At 37.5% G+C, this 24,086-nt stretch overlaps 1 protein-coding gene across 3 annotated transcripts in view; it reads left to right on the top strand.

Moving 5' to 3' along the window:
* The window catches only part of C5 (complement C5), a 122,531-nt gene that overhangs the window by 28,365 nt on the left and 70,080 nt on the right, over window positions 1-24,086 (top strand). For all 3 annotated transcript variants that reach the window (NM_001317163.2, NM_001735.3, NM_001317164.2), the window contains exons 2-10: window positions 118-310; window positions 3,335-3,497; window positions 8,550-8,620; window positions 11,607-11,698; window positions 14,306-14,388; window positions 16,014-16,104; window positions 19,227-19,341; window positions 20,921-21,047; window positions 22,982-23,097. In NM_001317163.2, the coding sequence (NP_001304092.1) occupies window positions 118-310; window positions 3,335-3,497; window positions 8,550-8,620; window positions 11,607-11,698; window positions 14,306-14,388; window positions 16,014-16,104; window positions 19,227-19,341; window positions 20,921-21,047; window positions 22,982-23,097 (1,051 nt within the window). The remainder of the gene's footprint in view (window positions 1-117; window positions 311-3,334; window positions 3,498-8,549; window positions 8,621-11,606; window positions 11,699-14,305; window positions 14,389-16,013; window positions 16,105-19,226; window positions 19,342-20,920; window positions 21,048-22,981; window positions 23,098-24,086) is intronic.

Genomic DNA, 24,086 nt, shown 5'->3' with positions numbered 1-24,086 from the left:
TAAGTGAGGAAATATATGTATTTTAAATGGAATCTCTCAAGTGAGAGAAAAAAATCAAAAGTAAAAGAAAATATGTCATATAAAGACATTGAGCCTTATCTTTTCCTTTTTCAACAGATATGTCATTTCAGCACCAAAAATATTCCGTGTTGGAGCATCTGAAAATATTGTGATTCAAGTTTATGGATACACTGAAGCATTTGATGCAACAATCTCTATTAAAAGTTATCCTGATAAAAAATTTAGTTACTCCTCAGGCCATGTTCATTTATCCTCAGAGAATAAATTCCAAAACTCTGCAATCTTAACAGTATGTATTTATCCTTTATTTTCTTTATATATATATACAGAATATTCTCAATAAAAATGTGTACAAAGTTTGAATATTGATAACATATAGATTTAATCATTTACATCCACTGTGGGATTATTAGATGATGTCAGTCACTAATGATAATGTAAGTGAAAATTCTAACAGAAACAGAAAATTCTAAACAGAAGTTATGTCTGCTTTTTGAGCAATGCATGTCCATTTTCACATTCTTATTGGAAAATAAAATTGTACTAATGTGAAAATATTTGGAGATAATTGAAAATACTTGTTTGCTATGAAAATTACTATTAGAAAGAAATTGAGAAATATGAGTATGATTTTATCTGTAGTACATTGCCCACAAAAATCCATGGATATTATTGAACATTCGATTGAACTCTAATATTCTACAATTATAGTTTCAAAAACTAAAAAATTTGTGATTACTAAAGTGAATAGCTCTCATTGACAACCTGCAGTTAATAGAAAGAACAACCTTGATCAAATAACTCTCCTATTAAGATATTGTAGTATAGATTGCTTAGAGACATACTTGCAACTTATTTTTACTAAAAATTCTGATACTTAATAAAGAAAATCAAAGAATATCAGACGTAAAATGGGCTCTGCAGTTCATTTAGACCAGAGTTTCTCTAAAGTGAGTTCTTTATAAAGAAATTAAAAATGGAAATTTAATAAAGAGCTTAAAATTCGAATTATATTGATTTTGTAACATTTTGAATTTATTTTATAAATTTGTTTTGAGTTTTTAATTATACAAAAATCATAAGCATAAGATTGTACCGTTTTAAGTTTGTATATATTTAAGTATCTTTGTATCAAAAATTATTTTGATTATGTTATAAATAATAAAAAGCCAATGCTGAGGGTCCTCCATGACTTTTGTCCTTTAAAAGGACTATGCATATTACTCAAGTTTAAGAAACACTAATCTAAAAAATTTCTAGTCAAACATAGGAATTCTTTAATGTTCTTAGCAGTAAATGCTCATATCTCTTAACAAATTCTTCCACTTATTAGGTTTGTTAACAATTAAAATTCATTTATTAAAAGTGTTACTTTTATGGCATATGCCTGTAATCCCAGCTACTCGGGAGACTGAGGCAGGAGAATCGCTTGAACCCAGAAGGCGGAGGTTGCAGTGAGCCAAGATCGCGCCACTGCACTCCAGCCTAGGCAACAGAGTGAGACTCCATCTCAAAAAAAAAAAAAAAAAAAGAAAGTGTTACTTTCAAAAGACACTCTTTTATCTGATACAATGTATTTGTGGCTCTTAGTTTTAAATTTAAATCAAACAAATTTAACTGAAATTAAAAATGCAGTATCTCAGTTGCACTAGCAACATTTCAAGTGTTCAAATAGCCCCAGGTAGCTATTGGCTACCATAGTAAACAGCATAGATATAGAATATTTCTGTCATCACAGAAAGTTCTCTGAACAGTGCTGACCTATATGATTAACTGAAAAACTAGATTAAGGTGGGGCAATCATAGTCAATACATATTTTAACCATTTAATTTTATCATAGCAATATCATGTATCTTTATTTGCCAATTGTTTAATGTTGTACCAAGGTCTTTTAAGTGTGGGTCTATGGATTGCAGTGTCAAATCTCATTTATTACGTGCTACAAATTTAATGGATCATCTTTGTTCTATAGTTTCTTTTTTGTTGTTGTTGTTGTTGTTGTTGAGACAGGGTCTCGCTCTGTCACCCAGGCTGGAAGACAGTGGTGTAATATCGGCTCACTGCAGCCTTCGCCTCCCAGGTTCAAGCAATTCTCCCACCTCAGCCTCTCAAGTAGCTGGGATTAACAGGCGTGCACCACCACACCTGGCTAATTTTTGCATTTTTAATAAAGAAGGTGTTTCACCATGTTGGCCAGGATGGTCTCGAACTCCTGACCTCAGGTGATCCGCCCGCCTCGGCCTCCCAAAGTGCTGGGATTACAGGCATAGGTTACTGTGCCCAGCCTGTTCTATAGTTTCTGTTTCTTAAAAGGGGAGAAAGAACTTAAAGGCACTTACAAAGCAATCTGGGTGCAGAATATTTATAGATTTTTCTTGTTTTCCAAACTTTTACAATAATTTCGCATAGCTAATTCTACAGCAGTTGGTTTTTGTAATTAACTTTCATCCCGTGTTTCCAAAGCCTAATTTTTCATAGATACACTTTTCTTTTTTATCACTTTTCATGCATTAAATTTACATATCATTGAATGTAAAGGGGATAATTACAAACATAAATTGGAAAATGAGCATCTCAACTCAGGGGAGCAGAAATATGTGAGGTAATACTAAGGGTCCAGAGATGCTGGACACATGGGCACGGTGACTGATGCCTGTAATCCCAGCACTTTGGGAAGCCGAGGCAGGTGGATCACTTGAGGCCAGGAGTTCAGGACCAGCCTGGCCAACATGGTGAAACCCGTCTCTATTAAAAATACAAAAAAAAAAAAAAAAAAAAGTTAGCTGGACATGGTGGCGCACACCTGTAATCTCAGCTACTTGGGAGGCTGAGGCAGGAGAATCACTTGAATCTGGGAGGCAGAGGTTGTCGTGAGCTGAGATGGCACCACTGCTTTCCAGCCTGGGCAACAGAGTAAGTGAGACTCCGTCTCAAAAAAAAAAAGCTAAGGGTCCAGAGAATCGGTCAGGAGGTTTCACAAAGGGAATGGGGAGCATGGGGTAACCCAGCAAACTAATTGAGTGAAGGTTTCTTAAAGGCTTTTATAGTAGTAGTTTCACTAAATGTATATAAAATTTAGGAAACATGGAACCAAAGAGACTTTCAATTGCTTAAAGCTAAATTTTTATTATGTAATTAGACACTGAAGGGCTTCGGGCAAAATTTATTTACTCTTCTTGCTCCTGTATCACTTTTTAAATGATTACATATACATACTGATTGTTCTAATGAGATTACAGTTGTATTTAGAAAGTTAATGGTTTAATAACTTTAGAATTATTATACTTTTTCCATCAACAATTTCTTTTCCAGATACAACCAAAACAATTGCCTGGAGGACAAAACCCAGTTTCTTATGTGTATTTGGAAGTTGTATCAAAGCATTTTTCAAAATCAAAAAGAATGCCAATAACCTATGACAATGGATTTCTCTTCATTCATACAGACAAACCTGTTTATACTCCAGACCAGTCAGGTAGATTATAAGATATTTCTTCCTCTGGGTGGGGGATTTGACAGTATTGACACTATATTGTAGAGCTTTTTAATACCTGAAATTGAGTGGAGATCGGTTTCTTTTTAATTTGCTCAAAAGACTCTCAATTCCCAAAGACATCTATACTTACAAATATTTAATAGCATTTTAATTTTAAATTTATGGAGAAAGTGCTAAATAAATTACAAAACCAACAATTACATTACCTGCCCCATCACTTATTTCCAAGTAGAAAATGCTTTTTCAAAATTGTAAAATGTTGAATGTTATGTAAAAATGTAAAATGTTATGTTGTTACAAAAACCAACTGCTGTAGAATTAGCTATGCGAAATTATTGTAAAAGTTTGGAAAACAAGAAAAATTTGTTTTCCAATATGTTACAATTTATTAAACAAATATAAGACTTAATTGCAAATATAATTTGGCAATGGGAAAATATAATTTATTGTAGAACCATGTTCATTAAAAATTCCACTGGGTCTGGAGCTAATCCCCAAACTGGAAAAATAAATCTAACCTAGGGGATCAGATATTTCAGCAGAGGATAAACTAGATCACAGAAATATATGGATATTAATTTTCAAAGGGGATCTACCTAAGAAAGTTACTGTTAGAACATTGTTTAACATTCATGGTTCTTCTGTTAGAGGCAAAAGGGCAGAATAGCCAATCAAAATCATGTGAATAGGAATGACTGGACCTATTCCCAATGAACCAAAAGTAAAACACAGAAAAGTATGAATGCTTCCCAATATATTCATGTGTTTGCAAAGCCTTCCATTCCCCCGTTTCTCCCTCTCGTCATCAATGACTTTTAAGTACATCAGAAATAGAATATTAGAGATGTATATATGGGAAGGAGAGGCTATGGAATTTCATTAATGATATTCTTGGAGGAGGACAGAGAAAGGAAGTGGGGACCATCTGACTTTGTTGAAAAACTTTGTACACAGTAGATATTTGCTAAATGTTGGTTGATGTTGATGATGAGAATAGTGGGGTGGAACTGGACTGAACCATTACCGTTTCAGCAGGAGCATTTGTTATGATCAGCTCAGAAAGGAAAAGCCTAAAGGGGGTGGAGATATTGCTATCTACTTGGCCAGAATAAAATCTCCAGAATAATAGCATCTTTTTTCTCCAAGAGACAACTTTTTATACAAGGAAATAGTCTCTGCCCACAAAGGTTGGGTCCTTTTAGACATAATCATACCTAGAAACAAGCATATCATCTCTCTTGTCCTCCTCCTACATTGAAGGATTCTTTTTTGCTTGGATCCTGTTGACACGTCCCACAACTAAGGGTCATCAGTCTTTGTCCAGTAAGCAGTGTAATATCCAGAGGCTGGGACCTTCCTCGGTTATCAAGGCTTTCCTTAAGAATGGCTTCATGTCTCATGCCTGTAATCCCAGCATTTTGGGAGTCCGAGGTGGGGGGATCACAAGGTCAGGAGTTTAAGACCAGCCTGGCCAAGATGGTGAAACCCTGTCTCTACTAAAACTACAAAAATTAGCCAGGCACTGTGGCAGGCGCCTGTAATCCCAGCTACTCTGGAGGCTGAGGCAGGAGAATCGCTTGAACCCAGGTGGCAGAGGTTGCAGTGAGCTGAGATCAAGCCACTGCACTCCAGCCTGGGCGAAAGAGTGAGACTTCGTCTCAGCAAAAAAAAAAAAAAAAAAAAAAGGCTTCATGTATTATTTCTCTATCAGGACTTTACTGTAAGATGATGTAATACCTGGCCAGGCACAGTGGCTCATGCCTGTAATCCCAGTACTTTGGGAAGCCCAGGCGGGTGGATCACTTGAGGTCAGGAGTTTGAGACCAGCCTGACCAACATGGTGAAACCCTGTTTCCACTAAAAATACAAAAATTAGCTGGATGTGGTGGTGCACGCCTGTAATTCCAGCTACTCGGGAGGCTGAGGCATGAGAATTGCTTGAACATGGCAGGCAGAGGTTGCAGTGAGATCGCGCCACTGCACTCCAGCCTGGGCAACAGAGCAAGACTGTCTCAAAAAAAAAAAAAAAAGAGAAAAAAAAAGAAGACGATGTAATATCCTCATCCATTCTAATCGTAGAGTAAAATGAGAGAAGTTTGCTATAAATATTGGCCCATTTCTGCAAGATAGTGAAGTAAATTGGTTAAAAGCAGACTCTGGAGTCAGATTGTCTGGGTTCAAGTCACAGCTTGAGCTGCTGTGAGCTGTATGACCCTGTGTGAATCACTCAGCCTCTCAGACTCCCACTTTCCTCACTTGTAAAATAGAGATAATAATACAACTTACCTCATAGAGTTGTGAGAATTAACTGAATTAGTATGTGTAAAGCACTTAAGATAGAGCCAAGCACACAGTAAGCACTAGGAAAGTGTTTTCCATTATTATCTATGGAATAGCACAAAGCCATATTTACAGAAAAGAAAAATAATTACTTAAAAGTATTTTTTAATCGTCTTGTTATTTATAGCTATAATGTCCCGATCAACACATTTAATCTGAAGATTCTTGAGGGATTTTTAGTGTAAGCATCTTTAGGATAAAGGCTTCAAGGCTTTACTGGATAAATGACTTTAGAATATTGCCCAAAATCCTTCAATTTCATAAAGCCTGTGTCCTGCCTTCTTCCCCAGCTTCATCACCTACTACGGCCCCACCCTCTATAGACACAAGCCAAACTGACCTCCTTTCAGATGCTTTCTCACACCGTTTCCCCATCCATATTAAGGCCTGTGTAACATGCTGTTGCCTCTACATGGTACATTCTTGCCCCTCCTTTGCCTTGTTAACTCCTACTTCACCCTCACGTGTCATCACAGATCCTTCTAAAGGCAGCTTTCGCTGATTTCCCTGACCTCTTCAAATCTCCCTCTTCTACATGCTCATAAGGCCAGGCAAATATCCTTTGTGGCACTTCACACCCTAGAATTTTACATATAATTGTGTTTGCCTCTTTCCTCCACACCATTAAAAGATGTCCATGTCTGATTTGTTTCACTACTGTATCTCAGTACGTAGCATAATGACTGGCACATTAGAAGGCATTCAAGGCCGGGCGCGGTGGCTCATGCCTGTAATCCCAGCACTTTGGGAGGCCGAGGCAGGCGGATCACAAGGTCAGGAGATCGAGACCATCCTGGCTCACACGGGATGTGAGCTAATACAAAAAATTAGCCAGGCATGGTGGTGGGTGCCTGTAGTCCCAGCTACTCGGGAGGCTGAGGCAGGAGAATGGCATGAACCCAGGAGGTGGAGTTTGCAGTGAACCGAGATTGCGCCACTGCACTCCAGCCTGGCATTCAAACTTTTTTTAAATTAATAAACCACATCTTTTATTTTTATTTTTATTTAGTGAGTGTCTCGCTCTGTCACCCAGGCTGGAGGGCAGTGGTGCAATCTTGTCTCATTGCAATCTCCGCCTCCCAGGTTCAAGCGATTCTCCAGCCTCAGCATCCCAAGTAAGTGGGATTCAGGCGCGTGCCACCATGCCTGGCTAATTTTGTATATTTAGTAGAGATGGGATTTCACCATGTTGGCCAGGCTGGGCTTGAACTCTTGGCCTCAAGTGATCCACTTACCTCGGCCTCCCAAAGTGCTGGGATTCCAGGTGTAAGCCACTGCACCCGGCCAATAAGCCATATCTTTTATACAAAAAATTGTATAGATCTTGCCTCCAATGTACCATCGCTGTGAAGACAAGATTAATTTTCTAACCTAAACACAAACTGGGTTAAAAACTAGCCAAATAGTAGTAACAGAAATAATAATAAAATAAACATTTATTGATTACTTAGTATGTGTCAGGCTATGCAAAAGCTTTGCATTATTTAATTCTCACAAGGACACTATGAGCACACACTAGTATTCCTGTTTTACAAGTGAGTTAACTAAGGTTTAGAGGGATTAAGTATCCTGCTCAGGGTCATACTAAAAAGTGGCAGAGGCAGGAGTGAAACCAAAGTGTTTAATTCCAGGGCCTGTGCTCTTAACTTTTGTGACTTTCTGACTTGGGCAGCTTCCCAGTGATACTCAGGCCTAGACTGGGTGTGTCCCAAAAAGCAGGAGATAGGATTTGTGGTGGGAGACAGGTGTGAGGGGAAGGAGAGAGCAGAGAGGTGGGGCATTTACTGAGCACATTGTTTTTATCTTGTGAACTTAGTAAAACCAGTGTTAATGTGGCTTCTTATATAGAGCTTTGCATAATACTGATCTTTTAAAAGATACTGGGTTTATGGTGCCAGTTCTATTTTATTTTGTGGGTAAAGTTTTGGCCATGAAATGATTTGAGCATCAGCAACACCCTAGAGAAATTAAGTTTGTCATTGGAAAGAATTAGATCACTGTGTCTCAAACAGCTGTGAGTTAAAAGCGAAACAGATGCTTTTGTTTAAAAAGTAGGGATCTATTAACTGACAGAAAGAAATGGAAGAGAACTAACAGTTATTGAGCCCCTGCCATTGCTCTTTTAACAATGAGCGAACAAGTGTAGGATCTGGCTCAATAAATAGAACAAAACCATATAATCCAAAGCTGCCTTTTGCAATAAGAGCTAATTTGGAGCCTTGTGGGTTTTCATAAGTGGAAGAGTGTATGTCTGAATCAAGCTCCCAATTTTCCATTAAGATCTTCAACTCTGAGACAATATATTATGCTCCTCTATAACCATATGGTGATGTCACTATTTTGCTACTATGAAATTCTTAATAAATAATGGCCTAATTACAGATGTAATTAATTTCATACTGTGAATGTTTTCTCAAAACATTGTAGGTAAATGTATTTTAAGAAAGTGAACTGTACTTTAAATCCACTAAGAGAAATAGTTCTTTAAAGGAATCCCTGAGGATTCTCTTAAATAAGAGAATCTTTAGTAATGTATATGTCTGCAAACTAATTTTTGTTTTTTTCAAATATGGACTTTTGTGTATTGAGTTTTTTAAAGTAAGATTCATCTCTTTTAAGGATGGTTGTTTTAAAAAATCAAAATATCCTTGTTTTTAGCAGAGTTTTTGATTATATCAATTATTCTTACAGTAAAAGTTAGAGTTTATTCGTTGAATGACGACTTGAAGCCAGCCAAAAGAGAAACTGTCTTAACTTTCATAGTAAGTATTTTATTTATTTAAATAATACTTTAATTCATTTTTCAGGACAAGAATCTCATTTCATAACCCTGTCCTCACACTACACTAAATCATTCAATGTTCCATAAATGGTTATTGAACATCTGCAATGAGTATAGAATCATAGATCTATACCTCTGTAATACACGTATGTGAAAGGCTCATACAAATTAAATTTCAATAACTTGAAGGATTTTGAGCTAAACCATTTAAGTACAATCTTGCTGATTTATTTTTTAAAGAACACCCACTGGCCGGGCGTGGTGGCTCACACCTGTAATCCCAGCACTTTGGGAGGCCGAGGCAGGTGGATCACGAGGTCAGGAGATCGAGACTAACCTGGCCAACATAGTGAAACCTCATCTCTACTAAAATACAAAAAATTAGCTGGTGCAGTGGCAGGCGCCTGTAGTCCCAGCTACTCGGGAGGCTGAGGTGGGGGAATTGCTTGAACCCGGGAGGCAGAGCTTGCAGTGAGCCGAGATTGTGCCACTGCACTCCAGCCTGGTGACAGTGTGAGACTCCATCTCAAAAAAGAAAATCTAAAAAAAAAAAAAAAACCAAAAAACAAAAAACCACCCACCAATCACTAAGAATTGACTGAATACCCATTTAACTATAAGATATACATAATGGATATATCTATTATGTATTTATTATGTGCAAAAGAACTATATTTAATGGTACTTACTCTTAAGGAACTTAGAGTTTAATAACTATTATACTAACACAAAAAATCTTGCTAAATCATGAGTTAAAGATTGGCAGTAATTCACCATTTATCAGACATGACATATGTAACAGACGCTGTGCATTGAACTCCCATGATCTCATCTAATTTGTGTCACATACCCCAAACACTTTTGTGAGGAAATAAAATAATACAACTAGTTATAACTGCTCAGTTATTAACAGTAGGTATACTACTAATGGTCCTTCAATATAGGCTGCAGCACTTTTGCTGCTACTCAAAAAAAAAACCAAAAAATAAAAATAAAAACTTATCAGAATGCAGGTGCAAAAGCATAGATACTACAGAACAAAACCATACTAAAATATAAAACAAATAAATTATACAGTAGGACAAATACCATGAGCTCAGAGGGAAGACCAATGAGAGGTGAGAGTGGGGGTGATACACATCCTTCTCTGGAACGGAGTAGTTAAAGGGAACCCTGAGTTGGGTGTTAATGAAAGGAATTGACATAAATTATTTAAAAATAGTGAAGACCATCCATGTAAGAAACAGTGTGAGTTAAGCTATGGGGGCAAGAAGAAATAAAAAAAAATGAAGCTAGTAAATAAACTGATTGACTGATAGAATGTCTGAAAGAGAACTAAGGAGAGCAATGTCAGCTCAAATGCCCTTTTTCTATCAGGGAATGATAGGGGTGTGGATGTATGCTCTTTATCCAACGTCTTCATGGTTGAACTTAAGTGATGCAGAATCATGGCATAACCTGCAGAAAAATGAATGTCAGTCATCTCTTGTAAGAGCTGCCCCAGGAAGAAAAGATTGAGAAAGCTGATCCCAGAGCCTTAAGGAGTTAATATAGAGGAAGTATCCTCAAAATAGTACCTGAGAAAGATGATCTTAGAAGAATTGTGCACAATGGATAGTGCGATGAAGAAGAGCCATAAAAATACTCAGCTACAAGTATAATTCTTGTTCAAAATAGGCTTCTGTAAGTTTTACAATTAATTACGAAATAAAACCTCTAAAATCCAACTGTGAATTTCAGTCATGGTAAATGGTGCTAAGATTTTTTGCTTTGGGTTTTTTGTTGGTTTGTTTGTTTTTGTTTGTATGTTTTTGACAGGGTCTTGCTCTGTCACCAAGGCTGGAGTGCAGTGGTGTGATCATAGCTCACTGTAGCCTCAAACTCCTGGGCTCAAGCCATCCTCCCACCTCAGCTTCCTGAGTAGCTAGGACTACAGGCACCCATCACCACACCCTGCTAACTCTTTAAACATTTTTTTGTAGGCTGGTCAGTGACTCATGCCTGTAATTGTAATCCCAGCACTTTGGGAGGCTAAAATGGGAGGATTGCTTGAGCTCAGGAGATTGAGACCAGCCTGGGCAACCTGGAGAGACCTCATCTCTACTAAAAATTAAAAAAAAAAAAATAGCTGGGCATGGTGGCATGTGCCTGTGGTCCTGGCTACTTGGGAGGCTGAGGTGGGAGGATTGCTTGAGCCTGTGAGTTCAAAGCTGCAGTGAGCTATGATCACACCACTGCACTCCAGCCTGGATCACAGAGCAAGATCCCTGTCTCAAAAAAGTTTTTTGTACAGATAGGGGCCTCACTTATGTTGCCTGCTATGTTTATGTGTTGAGTTAAGGCTGAATTGGACCCCCATGTGTAGTCCAAAGAAAGTCAAAACCTCATTTCAATTATTTGCTAACCCAAACACAAAATTAAGTTTATGGGGAAGCTTTACGAGAACTGTCAAGTTTGTTTAACCATTTGAGAGTTTTACCAAGCTGAAAAATGCCCATACTATACATTTATAAAACATCTGGCTAAAAAATATAATTCATAGAATATTTGCTTTTGAAAGCTTTAAATGAACATATATAAAAATTAGATTCTGGTGTTTATAAAGCCAACAAAATTCACATTTAGTTTATCAAAAACATCATTGTTTGTTTGTTTGTTTGTTTGTTGTTGTTTTTACGTGTTGTTACACTTCATCTTTTAGATGTACAACGAGAGTTGAGTCTCTTCAAGATAATGAGGAGAGATGGGGAAGATTGGAAAAAGAAGAAGGGAAATGGCTGAAATGAACCATATTTCCCTTCTATAACATTTAACAGATCTTCATCCTTCATATTTAATTTGAAGACATGGGTATTTGTCTTCAAATATTTGATCTATAAATATTTTGTACATCAAAGATTGTATAATCAGTTAAATTTTTTAAAATGTAGTTTCTGGCCTTTGAGGGTGTTTGTTTTTATTTACAGGATCCTGAAGGATCAGAAGTTGACATGGTAGAAGAAATTGATCATATTGGAATTATCTCTTTTCCTGACTTCAAGATTCCGTCTAATCCTAGGTATGTAAAAATAGTTGTTAATAAAACCACATACGGAACTTTTGGTGAAGAAGCAGGTAACCAGTTAAAGGGGGCCACCTAATGTTAACAAAGGGTGTCACATAGGTGGATATGCAAAATCTTTTGAAGTTCTAGCAAGAACTTAAGCTCTGTTCTTGGCAAAAAATTTCCAATACTTCTCAGCCATTCTTTTTACATATAGAAATAAAAATTGGGAAGAGGAAAAAATAGTACCCAGGTTTTTTTGTCATAAAAAACATCAACTCCTACCCCTCAAAGTATCTAATAGATTGTCAGTTTAAAAGGCTGGTGTGGTCTTGTTCCTTGCTCTGGTTGCTATAAAATAGGGTCGTCTGTAGTTTTTGCCTGGATAAACTACCAGAAGGCAAAGTCCAAGAGGGAAGGAGTTCTCAGAGCTATATCTATTATTTGGCCTCACATGAAAGGATTTAAGAAAAAGTTTAAACAGGGTTCAATGTAATAAATATTCAATGAACACATTCTTGGTATGTGCAAATCACAATAAGAGGGAGAGATACAAAATAAATAATCCACAGTCCCTGCTTTCAAGAAATTTGTAATAGGCCAGGTGCGGTGGCTCATGCCTGTAATCCCAACGCTTTGGGAGGCCAATGTCGGTGGATCACCTGAGGTCAGGAATTTGAGACCAGCCTGGCCAACATGGTGAAACCCCGTCTCTATCAAAAATACAAAAAAAGCCAGGCGTGGTGGCAGGCACCTGTAATCCCAGCTACTCGGGAGGCTGAGGCAGGAGAATCGCTTGAATCTGGGAGGTGAGGGTTAAAGTGAGCCAAGATCATGCCACTGCACTCCATGTTGGGCAACAGGAGCAAAACTCCAACTAAGATAGAAAGAAGAAGGAAGGAAGGAAGGAAGGAAAGAAAGAGGGAGGGGAGGGAGGAAGGAAGGAGGGAAGAAAAGAAAGAAAGAAATTTATAATAGAGCAGAATGAATAAGACAAGTGCATCTATACATGGCTGCACTAGAATTTTAGAACAACATCTTTTTATGGTCATTTTTCCTCTGCCCTCAGTTAATTCGCTGACTGAAATTTTTCTAAAAATTTAAATTGAATTTGGAGGTTTTAAATAACTTGGATAATTTAAAAATTGTGTACATTCTTGAAAATACTACATGTTCCATAGTGCAGAATTAAACCTATTATTTTATTACTGCTATCATTTCTCCAACTTCATCTTGTGCCACTTGCCCCATGGCAAATTATGTGCTAGCCATGGTCTGGCATGTCCAGTGCTTTCCTACCTCCGTGCCTTTGCACATGTCATCCCCTCTACTTGGAATGGGCTTCACCTGGCTCTTCATAAGCCTGGCTTCTTTTCATTGTTATGACCCAGAGTAGAAGCTACTACAAAAAGGCTATTCCTGGATGCATGATGTAATGTAATCTCTTGCTTTGTTTTACTCCCTATCTCAGCATCTTGTTTATTTTCTTCATGACACTTATCTCAATGTCATAATCATTTCTTTACTTGCTTGCTGGCATTTTTATTCCCCACTAGCTTATAAACTCTTTAAGGTGGGCCTTGTCTGTATTGCACACCAGCAGTTCAACATAATAGGCCCTTGATAAATATTCATTGAATTGATGATGATGGTAATAATCATTATTATAATACTATTAACATTTGTGGACTTCATAGCCAATCTGCAAGGTAGGCTCAGTATATATATGTGTGTGTGTGTGTATATATATGTGTGTATACACACATATATACATACATACACACACACACACACACACACACACCCATAGTTTTTTTGAAACAGAGTCTCACTCTGTCACCCAGGCTGGAGTGCAGTGGTGTGATCTCAGCTCACCACAGCCTTGATCTCGCGGGCTCAAGCAATTCTCCCACCTCAGCCTCCTAAGTAGCTGGGACTACAAGCATGCACCACCACACCAGACTAATTTTTGTATTTTTTTGTAGAGATGGGGTTTCATCATGTTGCCTGGGCTGGTCTCGAACTCCTGGGCTCAAGCGATCCTCCTGCCTTGGCCTCCCAAAGTGCTGGGATTATAGGCATGAGCCACTATACCTGGCCTAGTATATGTTTTTGAATAAAGGTTATTAATTAAAGCCAGGTCATTTTCATCTTTTAAAAACCATGCTTTGTTTCCAACCATAAATTCATTTTTGTGAGGTGTAAATTTTATCATCTGTATAAGCTTGTCTTGTATTATATGTTTCTAGAGACGTTATTATGGATTTTGTACTGTATTTTGGATTTTAGTATTATGTTAGCATAATTAGGCTCCAAGATTAAATAAATTCTCAGAAATAATAAGTTCTTCAAATCAAAACTAATGACTGTATTAAGATAAAATACCAGGAAAAATAATACAATATATGAAAAACTGGTTACTAAACAATATCTATTATCTATTATCCTAAAAATGCTCAATTATTTATTGCTTAAAAATCAGTCACAAATAAAATATATTACTTAGGTTTTATATATCTTTGTGTATTCTTCCCTCTTTAAAACAGGAATTTATTAGATCTCCTCTGAGTGAATTAAAAACATTTGATGACATCTATAATTTTAAATATTTTGCTTCCACAGATATGGTATGTGGACGATCAAGGCTAAATATAAAGAGGACTTTTCAACAACTGGAACCGCATATTTTGAAGTTAAAGAATATGGTAATTTCTGACAAGTAAAAGTTTTTCTTTGCTTTTTGTTTTTTGTTTTTGAGATGGAGTCTCGCTCTGTTGCCCAGGCTGGAGTGCAGTGGCACGATCTCAGCTCACTGCAACCTCCGCCTCCTGGGTTCAAGCAATTCTCTGCCTCAGCATCCCAAGTAGCTGGGATTACAGGCACCAACCACCATAGCCGGCTAATTTTTGTATTTTTAGTAGAGACAGGGTGTCACCATCTTGGCCAGGCTGGTCTTGAACTCCTGACCTCGTGATCCACCCACCTCGGCCTCCCAAAGTGCTGGGATTACAGGCATGAGCCACCGCACCCAGCCAATTAAAAGTTTTTCTATAAAAAGTTAGTGTTTTGCAATAATTCTTTTTAATAATGTAGTTAATGCAAAATTATTCCCAGATGAAGATGAGGCAGCCTGTACGTATGGCTAGAAGTACTGGCTAGAGGTTGGAGGGAGGAGTAGTAGTTGAATGCCTAGATTCTAGTTCCAGCATGCCTTTAACCCTGATCAAGCAGAACAACCTCTGTGTACTTGTGTTCCCCATCAGAGAGCTGGAAGAGATCTAGTCCCCTGAAGAGCTTGACTAGTAAAGATCCTTTCTAGAATTGTGATTATTATTAGGAGAAACTTAAATAGTCATAGATGAGGTGAGTGGAACCCAGTAAAACCAATAAATGATTTACTTGAGTCTTAAAACCAATTAGTGACAAAACAAAAACAACAATTAGGTTTCCTTACCCCTAGTCCAACACTATTTTCTGGCTCCTAAATTCCTAATATATTCATTTGAATATTTAAGATATTCTTATTTTGAAATAAATTATATTAATAGACTAACAAGTAACGTAAATAGTTTAATCTTTCATTTCTTATAGTAGTTTACTAGCATTTCTGTGTGCTCTGCTATCAAATTTAACTTTCTTCTGCTTGAAGCCATTTTTTATTCCCTCAAGAGATTCATAATGACATGGAGAAGAATAAATACTGACACAAATTTTAACAATTAACAAGAAAAACAGTGACAAAACAAATTCGTTATGATGAAACTCAACCTTAAAGATTACAGGCTCTCTGTAACATATAATCCTAACCCATCTCCCTTCTTCTAAGTGTTTTTGTATTTTCTCTGTATATCTAGAATCCACCCACCTCTTACTGTCTGTAGCCACTCTCATCAATTCATCAGCACTCTCCCTCCTGGACTACAGCAAAAGCCTCCTAACTGATGTCTCTGCTTCCAAGCTATCTTGCTTGGTATTAGCCAAAATAATCTTGAAATGCAAATTTCATTATGTTATGTCACAATTGAAAAGTTTTTTTGTTTTCAAGGAACCTATACTCTAATGGAAGAAATAACCTATTGCCTATAATAAATGCTGTAATCAAAATATAGGCAAAGTGCTTCTGGATTGACCTCTGATTGTTGGAGTGGGAAGGTTCTGCAGAGATTGTTGTTGGTGATGACGATGATGACGATGATGATTATGATAATAAAGTGGATGTTGTGTTGATGTTACAGCTTGTCCAACTATACCAGAAAGTCTAGCTGTTTGCTAGGCTTTAAAGTCTGCTCTAATCAAAATGGTAATATTACCTGTTTGTTTTTATTTTCAGTCTTGCCACATTTTTCTGTCTCAATCGAGCCAGAATATAATTTCATTGGTTACAAGAACTTTAAGAATTTTGAAATTACTATAAAAGCAAGGTAAGAACATTTGTTTTTTTGTTGTTTTTATTTTTATTTTTCAAATTAACTCAACTCTGGTTGATGATAGTTGCCCAAAGTGAGATCTGTGATTTATTATCAAAGTGTGCCATGATTTGGGGACTAATTGATAAAGGAGACATCATGCTGGTAGTTCATTTGCTTATTCTGATTTTAGCTGATTCTGAGTTTAGCTTTGTTGGCTATTCAACAGCAAAAACAAAGAAAAGTGCCAAAGATCTAAGTTTGGTGTATGTGTTTAGAAACTAGGGTAACTTAGAATATTGGGACTGAGATATGAAGGATTCACTTCCTATCTTTTTTTAATGATTTAATCAGCCAGCTAATGCTGCGTAACTACTTCAAAACCCAGTGCCTTGAAACTCCCACATTTATGAGTCAGCTGGGAAGTTCTGCTGATCTGGGCCAGGCTGGTGTCAGCTGGGCTCACCCATGTAGCTGCAGCCAGTTGGTAGGTCAGCTGGGGGCTGGCTGGTCTAGGAAGGTCCTGTCCATATGTCTGGCAGTTGGATGGGGCTAAAAGTGTGTGTGCCTCTCATCATCCAGCAGGCTAGCTTGTAGCAGCAGCAACACTCAAAGAGGCAATGGAAGCATGAAAGTCCCCCTGAGCCTAGGCTTGGTGCTGGCACACCATCACTTCCACACATTCTTTTGTCCAAAGCAAGTTACAAGGTCAGCCCAGAGGAAATAGACCCCTCCCACACTTTGTGGACACAAGGAACTGTGCAAAGGTCGTTGATACATGGGGAGGTAGAGAATTGGGGGTTAGTTTTGCAAGCAACCTATCACAAAAGCTTAGGTCATTTTAAAATTACAATATAATGTAGTTATACCAATCTATATAACTATATGTGTGGGGTACTCTTCTAAGTACTCAGCATATATTAGCACATTTAATCTTTACAACAACTCTATGCGTTGATATTGTTACTATTCCCATGTTACAAGTGGAAAAACTGAGGTACATAAATGTTTAATAATTTGCTCAAAATCATACAGCTAGTAAGTTGCACAGCCTGTCTGCTTCCAGAGTCCATGCCTCAAACATTACCCTATGCTAGCTCTCTTATTAGCATTGATTTGAAAAATAGAGTGTTTATTACTTGGTCTAAACCAGCATAAAAGGCTCACTTGAGAGAAAATTATAGAAACTGACCTCCTATAATGGGGACTATTTATTCAAACCATAAATAAGGAAAGTTAGCTCTTGCTATAGTATTATTTGCTGGGTAGAAAGTTTACTTTATTCTTACTTTAATTCTAAACTAAAAAGGGAAACATGCAGTTTAAATTTTTTATGAATAGATCTCATATAACAGTGAGATTGGACACGTACCTTTTAAAAACATAAAAGAAAACAGAGAGTAGCTGATATCAAAATTATCAAGGAAGTAATTTGGCATATAGGAGAGGGCCCTGATTCTAAGTCTTGTGATCTCCCCAAGATCAATTTTTTTCATCTAGCACATAGCTTTATTAATGTGGCTTTATGAGGATGAAATGTAATAGTGCATGAAGGACACTTTATTTATTATTATTATACTTTAAGTTCTAGGGTACATGTACACAACGTGCAGGTTTGTTACATAGGTATACATGTGCCATGTTGGTTTGCTGCACCTATTAACTCATCATACATTAGGTATTTCTCCTAATGCTATCCCTCCCCGTCCCCCACCCCATGACAGGCCCCAGAGTGTGATGTTCCCCGCACTGTGTCCAAGTGTTTTCATTGTTCAGTTCCCACCTGTGAGTGAGAACATGCGGCATTTGGTTTTCTGTCCTTGTGGTAGTTCACTCAGAATGATGGTTTCCAGCTTCATCCATGTCCCTGCAAAGGACATGAACTCATCCTTTTTTATGCCTGCATAGTATTCCATGGTGTATATGTGCCACATTTTCTTAATCCAGTCTATCATTGATGGGCATTTAGGTGGGTTCCAAGTCTTTGCTAGTGTGAATAGTGCTGCAGTAAACATACGTGTGCATGTGTCTTTATAGCAGCATGATTTATAATCCTTTGGGTATATACGCAGTAATGGAATCACTGGGTCAAATTGTATTTCTAGTTCTAGATCCTTAAGGAATTGCCACACTGTCTTCCACAATGGTTGAACTAGTTTACACTCCCACCAACAGTGTAAAAGCGTTCCTATTTCTCCACATCCTCTCCAGCATCTGTTGTTTCCTGACTTTTTAATGATTGCCATTCTAACTGGTGTGAGATGGTATCTCATTGTGGTTTTGATTTGCATTTCTCTGATGACCAGTGATGATGAGCATTTTTTCATGTGTCTGTTAGCTGCATAAATGTCTTCTTTTGAGAAGTATCTGTTCATATCCTTTGCCCACTTTTTGATGGGGTTGTTTGTTTTTTTCTTGTAAATTTGTTTAAGTTCTTTGTAGATTCTGGATATTAGCCCTTTGTCAGATGGGTAGATTGCAAAAATTTTCTCCATTCTGTGGGCTGCCTGTTCACTCTGATGGTAGTTTCTTTTACTGTGCAGAAGCTCTTTAGTTTAATTAGATCCCATTTGTCAATTTTGGCTTTTGTTGCCATTGCTTTTGGTGTTTTAGTCATGAAATCCTTGCCCATGCCTATGTCCTGAATGGTATTGCCTAGGTTTTCTTCTAGCGTTTTTATGGTTTTAGGTCTACCATGTAAGTCTTTAATCCATCTTGAATTAATTTTTGTATAAGATATAAGGAAGGGATCCAGTTTCAGCTTTCTATATATGGCTAGCCAGTTTTCCCATCACCATTTATTAAATTGGGAATCCTTTCCCCATTTCTTGTTTTTGTCAGGTTTGTCAAAGATCAGATGGTTGTAGATGTGTGGTGTTATTTCTGAGGCCTCTGTTCTGTTCCATTGGTCTATATATCTGTTTTGGTACCAGTACCATGCTGTTTTGGTTACTGTAGCCTTGTAGTATAGTTTGAAGTCAGGTAGCATGATGCCTCCAGCTTTGTTCTTTTTGCTTAGGATGAAAGACACTTTAAAGTGCCTCAAGTGCTTTACGTAATTTCAAATTGTTACATTTTATCTGAATCCTGTTATTGTAACCATGTTAGTAAAACAGTTTTATGCTATTGTCTGACAGATATTTTTATAATAAAGTAGTCACTGAGGCTGACGTTTATATCACATTTGGAATAAGAGAAGACTTAAAAGATGATCAAAAAGAAATGATGCAAACAGCAATGCAAAACACAATGGTAAGATGTTAAGACACAGTCACTCACACCTACAGATGCATCCAGAGGTGAGAGATGAGAAGTTACTTAAAAACCATCTAGTCCAATCCCCCATTTTAGATAGGTTGAAACTTAAAATCCTCCATTGGCTTCCCTTTGCCTTTAGGGTAAAGTTCATTTTCCTTGGCATCAGCCTCCCTTACCAGCTGATCTCATGCCCTTTCCTCCCTCCCTCCCCTTTGTATTAATCACTCCAATTTCTCTAACTGACCAAAGTCTCTCTTGCCTCCAGGTCTTTACAATATCATTTATTCTGCTTGAAAATGCTCTTTCCCATTGTCACCTCCTGCCCCTTCTTTGCCTGGCTAATTCCTTCTCATTCTTTAAGTTTCAACATTGACAGCCTTTCTCTGGGAAGCCTCCCCTGACTCTTCTACACTAGGTTAGCTGCCCCGGCTGTATAGCCTCTTTTCTTAACACATTCTTCACATTTCATTGCAGCGGTTCTCAACTAGGGGTGATTTTTTATTCCCAAGGAGACATTTGGCAATGTCCAGAGACATTTGTGGTTGCTACTGGTGTTTACTAGGGAGAGGCCGGGGATGCTGCTAAATTCCTACCATGCACAGGGCAGGCCCCTACAACAAAGAATTATCCTGTTCAAAATGTCAATAATGCTGAGGGGTTGAGAAACCCTTCTTTACTGGAATGGCTTGTTTACTTATCTATCATTTTCAATATTAAACTATTTGTGAGTCTGAATCATTTCCCTTATATGCCCAGAGACAGCATAGTTTCTTGCAAGGAAATATTCATGAAGTTATTTGTCCATAGTTTAGGGCTAATGATTGCTGGAACTGAGATTAGGGCGCTGGTTCCCTTTCCCTTATTCAGCATTCTTTACATTATACCACAGATGATATGAGTTCATGTCATTTTTGCTCACTTTTTCGTATTCATTTGGTTTGCATCATCAATCATTTATCCTCTACAATCTTATTAATTCAAGATGTAAATTAAATGCATTTTTAAAATGCAAAATTCTATGCTAGACACTGGGATGTAAAGCTAAATAAGACAAAAATGCCTGCCCTCAAGTCGCTCAATTTTATAAGAAAAAATAAGGCAAAGTTTATTTTACTGTTGTGTTAATAATTAAATAATATAATATGACTTAACCCCACATCCCTTTACTCATTGTGTGTTTTAAAATTAGTATTTAAATTTGTAAGCAGTGAAGTACAAATTAAATATTATAAAAACCAACAAACTCTCAGTTAAGGGCGGAAGTACGCTGAGAGGCCTATAAAGATGAATGATGACGCAGGAATTGGAAGAAGTCGTGTTTGTCAGCTATTACCAAAAAGACCTGTTGGACCATGTGATGTTCAAGACCCTTCTACTTCTATAATTCTATACAAATAATTAGAAAATAACATCCTGGGCTTAATCGTGGACTCGGTTATCTACTTTACTTTTGACACTAAACCATTCTTCTGACATTTACCTTCAATTTAGAGGTTAGTAAAAGCAGATTTTATTAATTTTTCCTTATAAGTTCTTCTCCGAAATAACTCCTCCTTTTTCTCCTTTTAAAAAGTTGATAAATGGAATTGCTCAAGTCACATTTGATTCTGAAACAGCAGTCAAAGAACTGTCATACTACAGTTTAGAAGATTTAAACAACAAGTACCTTTATATTGCTGTAACAGTCATAGAGTCTACAGGTAAGTGTGTGTGTGTGTGTGTGTGTGTGTGTGTATACTTTCTTTTGAAAAATATTTAGACAGAATATTAAAGATATAAATAATTTCCAATTTCTATAATTATTTCACATTGTATTTTCTTTCATAGTTAAATATAATTATAAGAAGTAGACTTTTATATAGTTATAAAAAGGCAGTAGGGCTCTGCTTCTTTTTAGTCATTGGACAAGCCATTGGGTCCCTATTACCTCCACTTCTACTGCAAAAATGGGAAAACAGTACCCAATTCATGTCCAAAGTAGTTCTGCAGGCTCTCTGCCTTGACCATTTGGCACCCTAGTGTCCTCACGTGGTGAAAATCAAAACCAAAATAAGATTATGTGTGTAAAACTATTTGATAAAGTACTATACAAATAAAAGTTATTACTATTATCATTATTATAGTCTACATAATGATGGAGTCAAACTGAATGTTTCCTAAAGCCTAAAGTTTTCAACATTATTTTAATGTTTCTTCTTTTTATTTTTTCCTCAACTTATTTTAAATAAGTTCAGTTTAAGCAGTATCTATGAGATATTTAAAGTATTGCCAAACAGACAGGCTTGCAAACATTAATGATGTATGATGCCAGCACTAAAGTGGCTTACAAATTAGCATCAGGTATAAGACAGGTGAAGAAAGAACTGTTGCAAGAAAGAATTCCATATGAGCTCTAAGCAAAATATTAATGCAATAGGATTCAGAGGAAGGTGAGCTTCTAGATGATTGTTGAGCAAGCAAGAACAGTGTTGTGAAGATGATCAGTCTTGAAAAATAATTAGGGTTTTGAGGCAGAGTTGCTAGACAGGGTGAAATAGAAACCCTCCAGAGAGAGGGCAGATGAAGAAGAGTAGATGGTGAAGCTTAATCTTTGAGGACAGCAGATCATCCAGTTTGGCTAAAATATAGGATATGTATAGAATGTATTAGAGATGTAATATTGGAAAGGAGTTTGGGAATATTAAAGCTTCAAATGTTATTCTTAATAGTTTAACTTAATCTTTACCTGGAGGATAACATTATTGGGCTCTTGCCAGTTGTCTGGTCATGTCCCCTTCCCTCCCCCTCCCCCCTCCCGCTCCCCTCCCTCCCCTCCCCCTCCCCTCCCCCTCCCCTCCCCCTCCCCCCTCCCGCTCCCCTCCCCTCCCCCTCCCCTCCCCCTCCCCCCTCCCACTCCCCCCTCCCCCTCCCCCCTCCCCTCCCCTCCCTCCCTCCCCTCCCGAGTCTTGCTCTGTTGCCCAGACTGGAGTGCAGTGGTACAGTCTCAGCTCAATGCAACCTCCGCCTCCTGGGTTCAAGCAATTCTCCTGCCTCAGCCTCCCGAGTAGCTGAGATTACAGGCATATACCACCATGCCTGGCACTTTTTTTGTTTTCGTTTTTTAGTTTTAGTAGGGATGAGGTTTCACCATGTTGGCCCGGCTGGTCTCGAACTCCCTTTCAGGGTTCTTTCTATATCAAGCTCCCTTTTTCTGATTTCTCTCTATGTATCTATGCTCTGTGAACACCAACCCCCATCCCCCACCTCCACTTCTGTAAGGCTCAGTTTCTGGCCTGACCCTTCCCTCTCTCCTCAATCCCTTGAATACAGTCAACTGAAACTCAGGCCACTGATGAAAAGTGGTGTCCCTTCCTGGCATCCTTCCTCAGTCCAGTCCTGTAGCTCTACTTCTCCAAGGGCTTCTCTACATACGAGCTTGTGCATAAGGCCTTGGAAACTCCTGAGGTCTAAACTCTTCTCTGCTGTGCCCCTCTGAAGCAAGACCTATGTCCTACTTACTACTGGTAAATGAATGAATGCAAGAATGGAGTGAGTGAATGAATAAGTCTGTGGAGACATATAGAGATGAAATGGATATCCATACAGATCATGATACTCCTAAAAACTGTCAACATGATGCTTGCCATTTCCTTAGGTGGATTTTCTGAAGAGGCAGAAATACCTGGCATCAAATATGTCCTCTCTCCCTACAAACTGAATTTGGTTGCTACTCCTCTTTTCCTGAAGCCTGGGATTCCATATCCCATCAAGGTAGATTGGGTGAGGGGGTAGACGTTGCTACATATGATCATCTTGTTCTGTTCATGGAAAACATGTGGGTGGCAAACAGGGTAAGAATGTTGCCATGAAGTCACAGAGGGAGCTTATTCTGTGAAACCTGCCCCTCCTGGTGGACACAGACAGGGATGGGAAATTGAAGGTCAGCTGCAGCCTTGGCAATGACTTCAAAAGTGAGGGCAAGATAGCCTTGTATTAGGCATCCCTAAATAAGCATTAAATTACATGTAATAAATAAGCATTAAATTATATGTAAATAAAATCTCATAAGACTCTAGTTCAAAAATACAAACATTTAAAATTATTTGGTGGCAAATTCTTAAAAAGCCTTAAGATGGAGATATCATTCCTTGAAAATAGACTCCTTTCTCTCACTATGTTTTTGCCTCCAGTGTGTCTCATTTGTTTCCCTCTGTCTCTGTGTTGTCTTTGTGCATAACTCTGTTCAATCTCTCGTCTCTGTATTGCTCTCTGTTCTTTTCATTTTTGCTTCTTTCCGTCCCTGAATCTCTTTTTTTCTGTCTTTTTTGCTTACTCCTCTGCATTCATTTTTCTCTCTTTCACCTTCTTTTCCTCCTCTAAATGCTGACAGTATAGAATTGAAACATTCATGTGGTTTTTAGATTTTTATCTATCATTATATATTTTATTACAAATAATATATTTTATTATGTTGATTAAATGGAAATGTTTATTCCCTGCCCTTAATTTAGAAATCCAGAGCAAAATTTTTTTTTGTTCTTTGAAAATGTGTTACTTTTTAAAATCAACTTAAGTACAATCAAAATGTGTTATTTATTATTTACTGTGGGTCATGGGCTTTTAAGAAAAAAAAGGATTTACCAAGCCCAAAGCAAGGTTTGGACATGCTTGTAGGTTCTTACATATATATACTATATATAGAAAATAATATATAACAAAGTATCATATAATGCATATACAGTAATATATAATATATATAC

The sequence above is a fragment of the Homo sapiens genome, chromosome 9, assembly GCF_000001405.40.
Source record: "Homo sapiens chromosome 9, GRCh38.p14 Primary Assembly".
Classification (NCBI taxonomy): Eukaryota; Metazoa; Chordata; class Mammalia; order Primates; family Hominidae; genus Homo; species Homo sapiens.
This window is presented reverse-complemented; position numbering and strand designations above follow the sequence as displayed.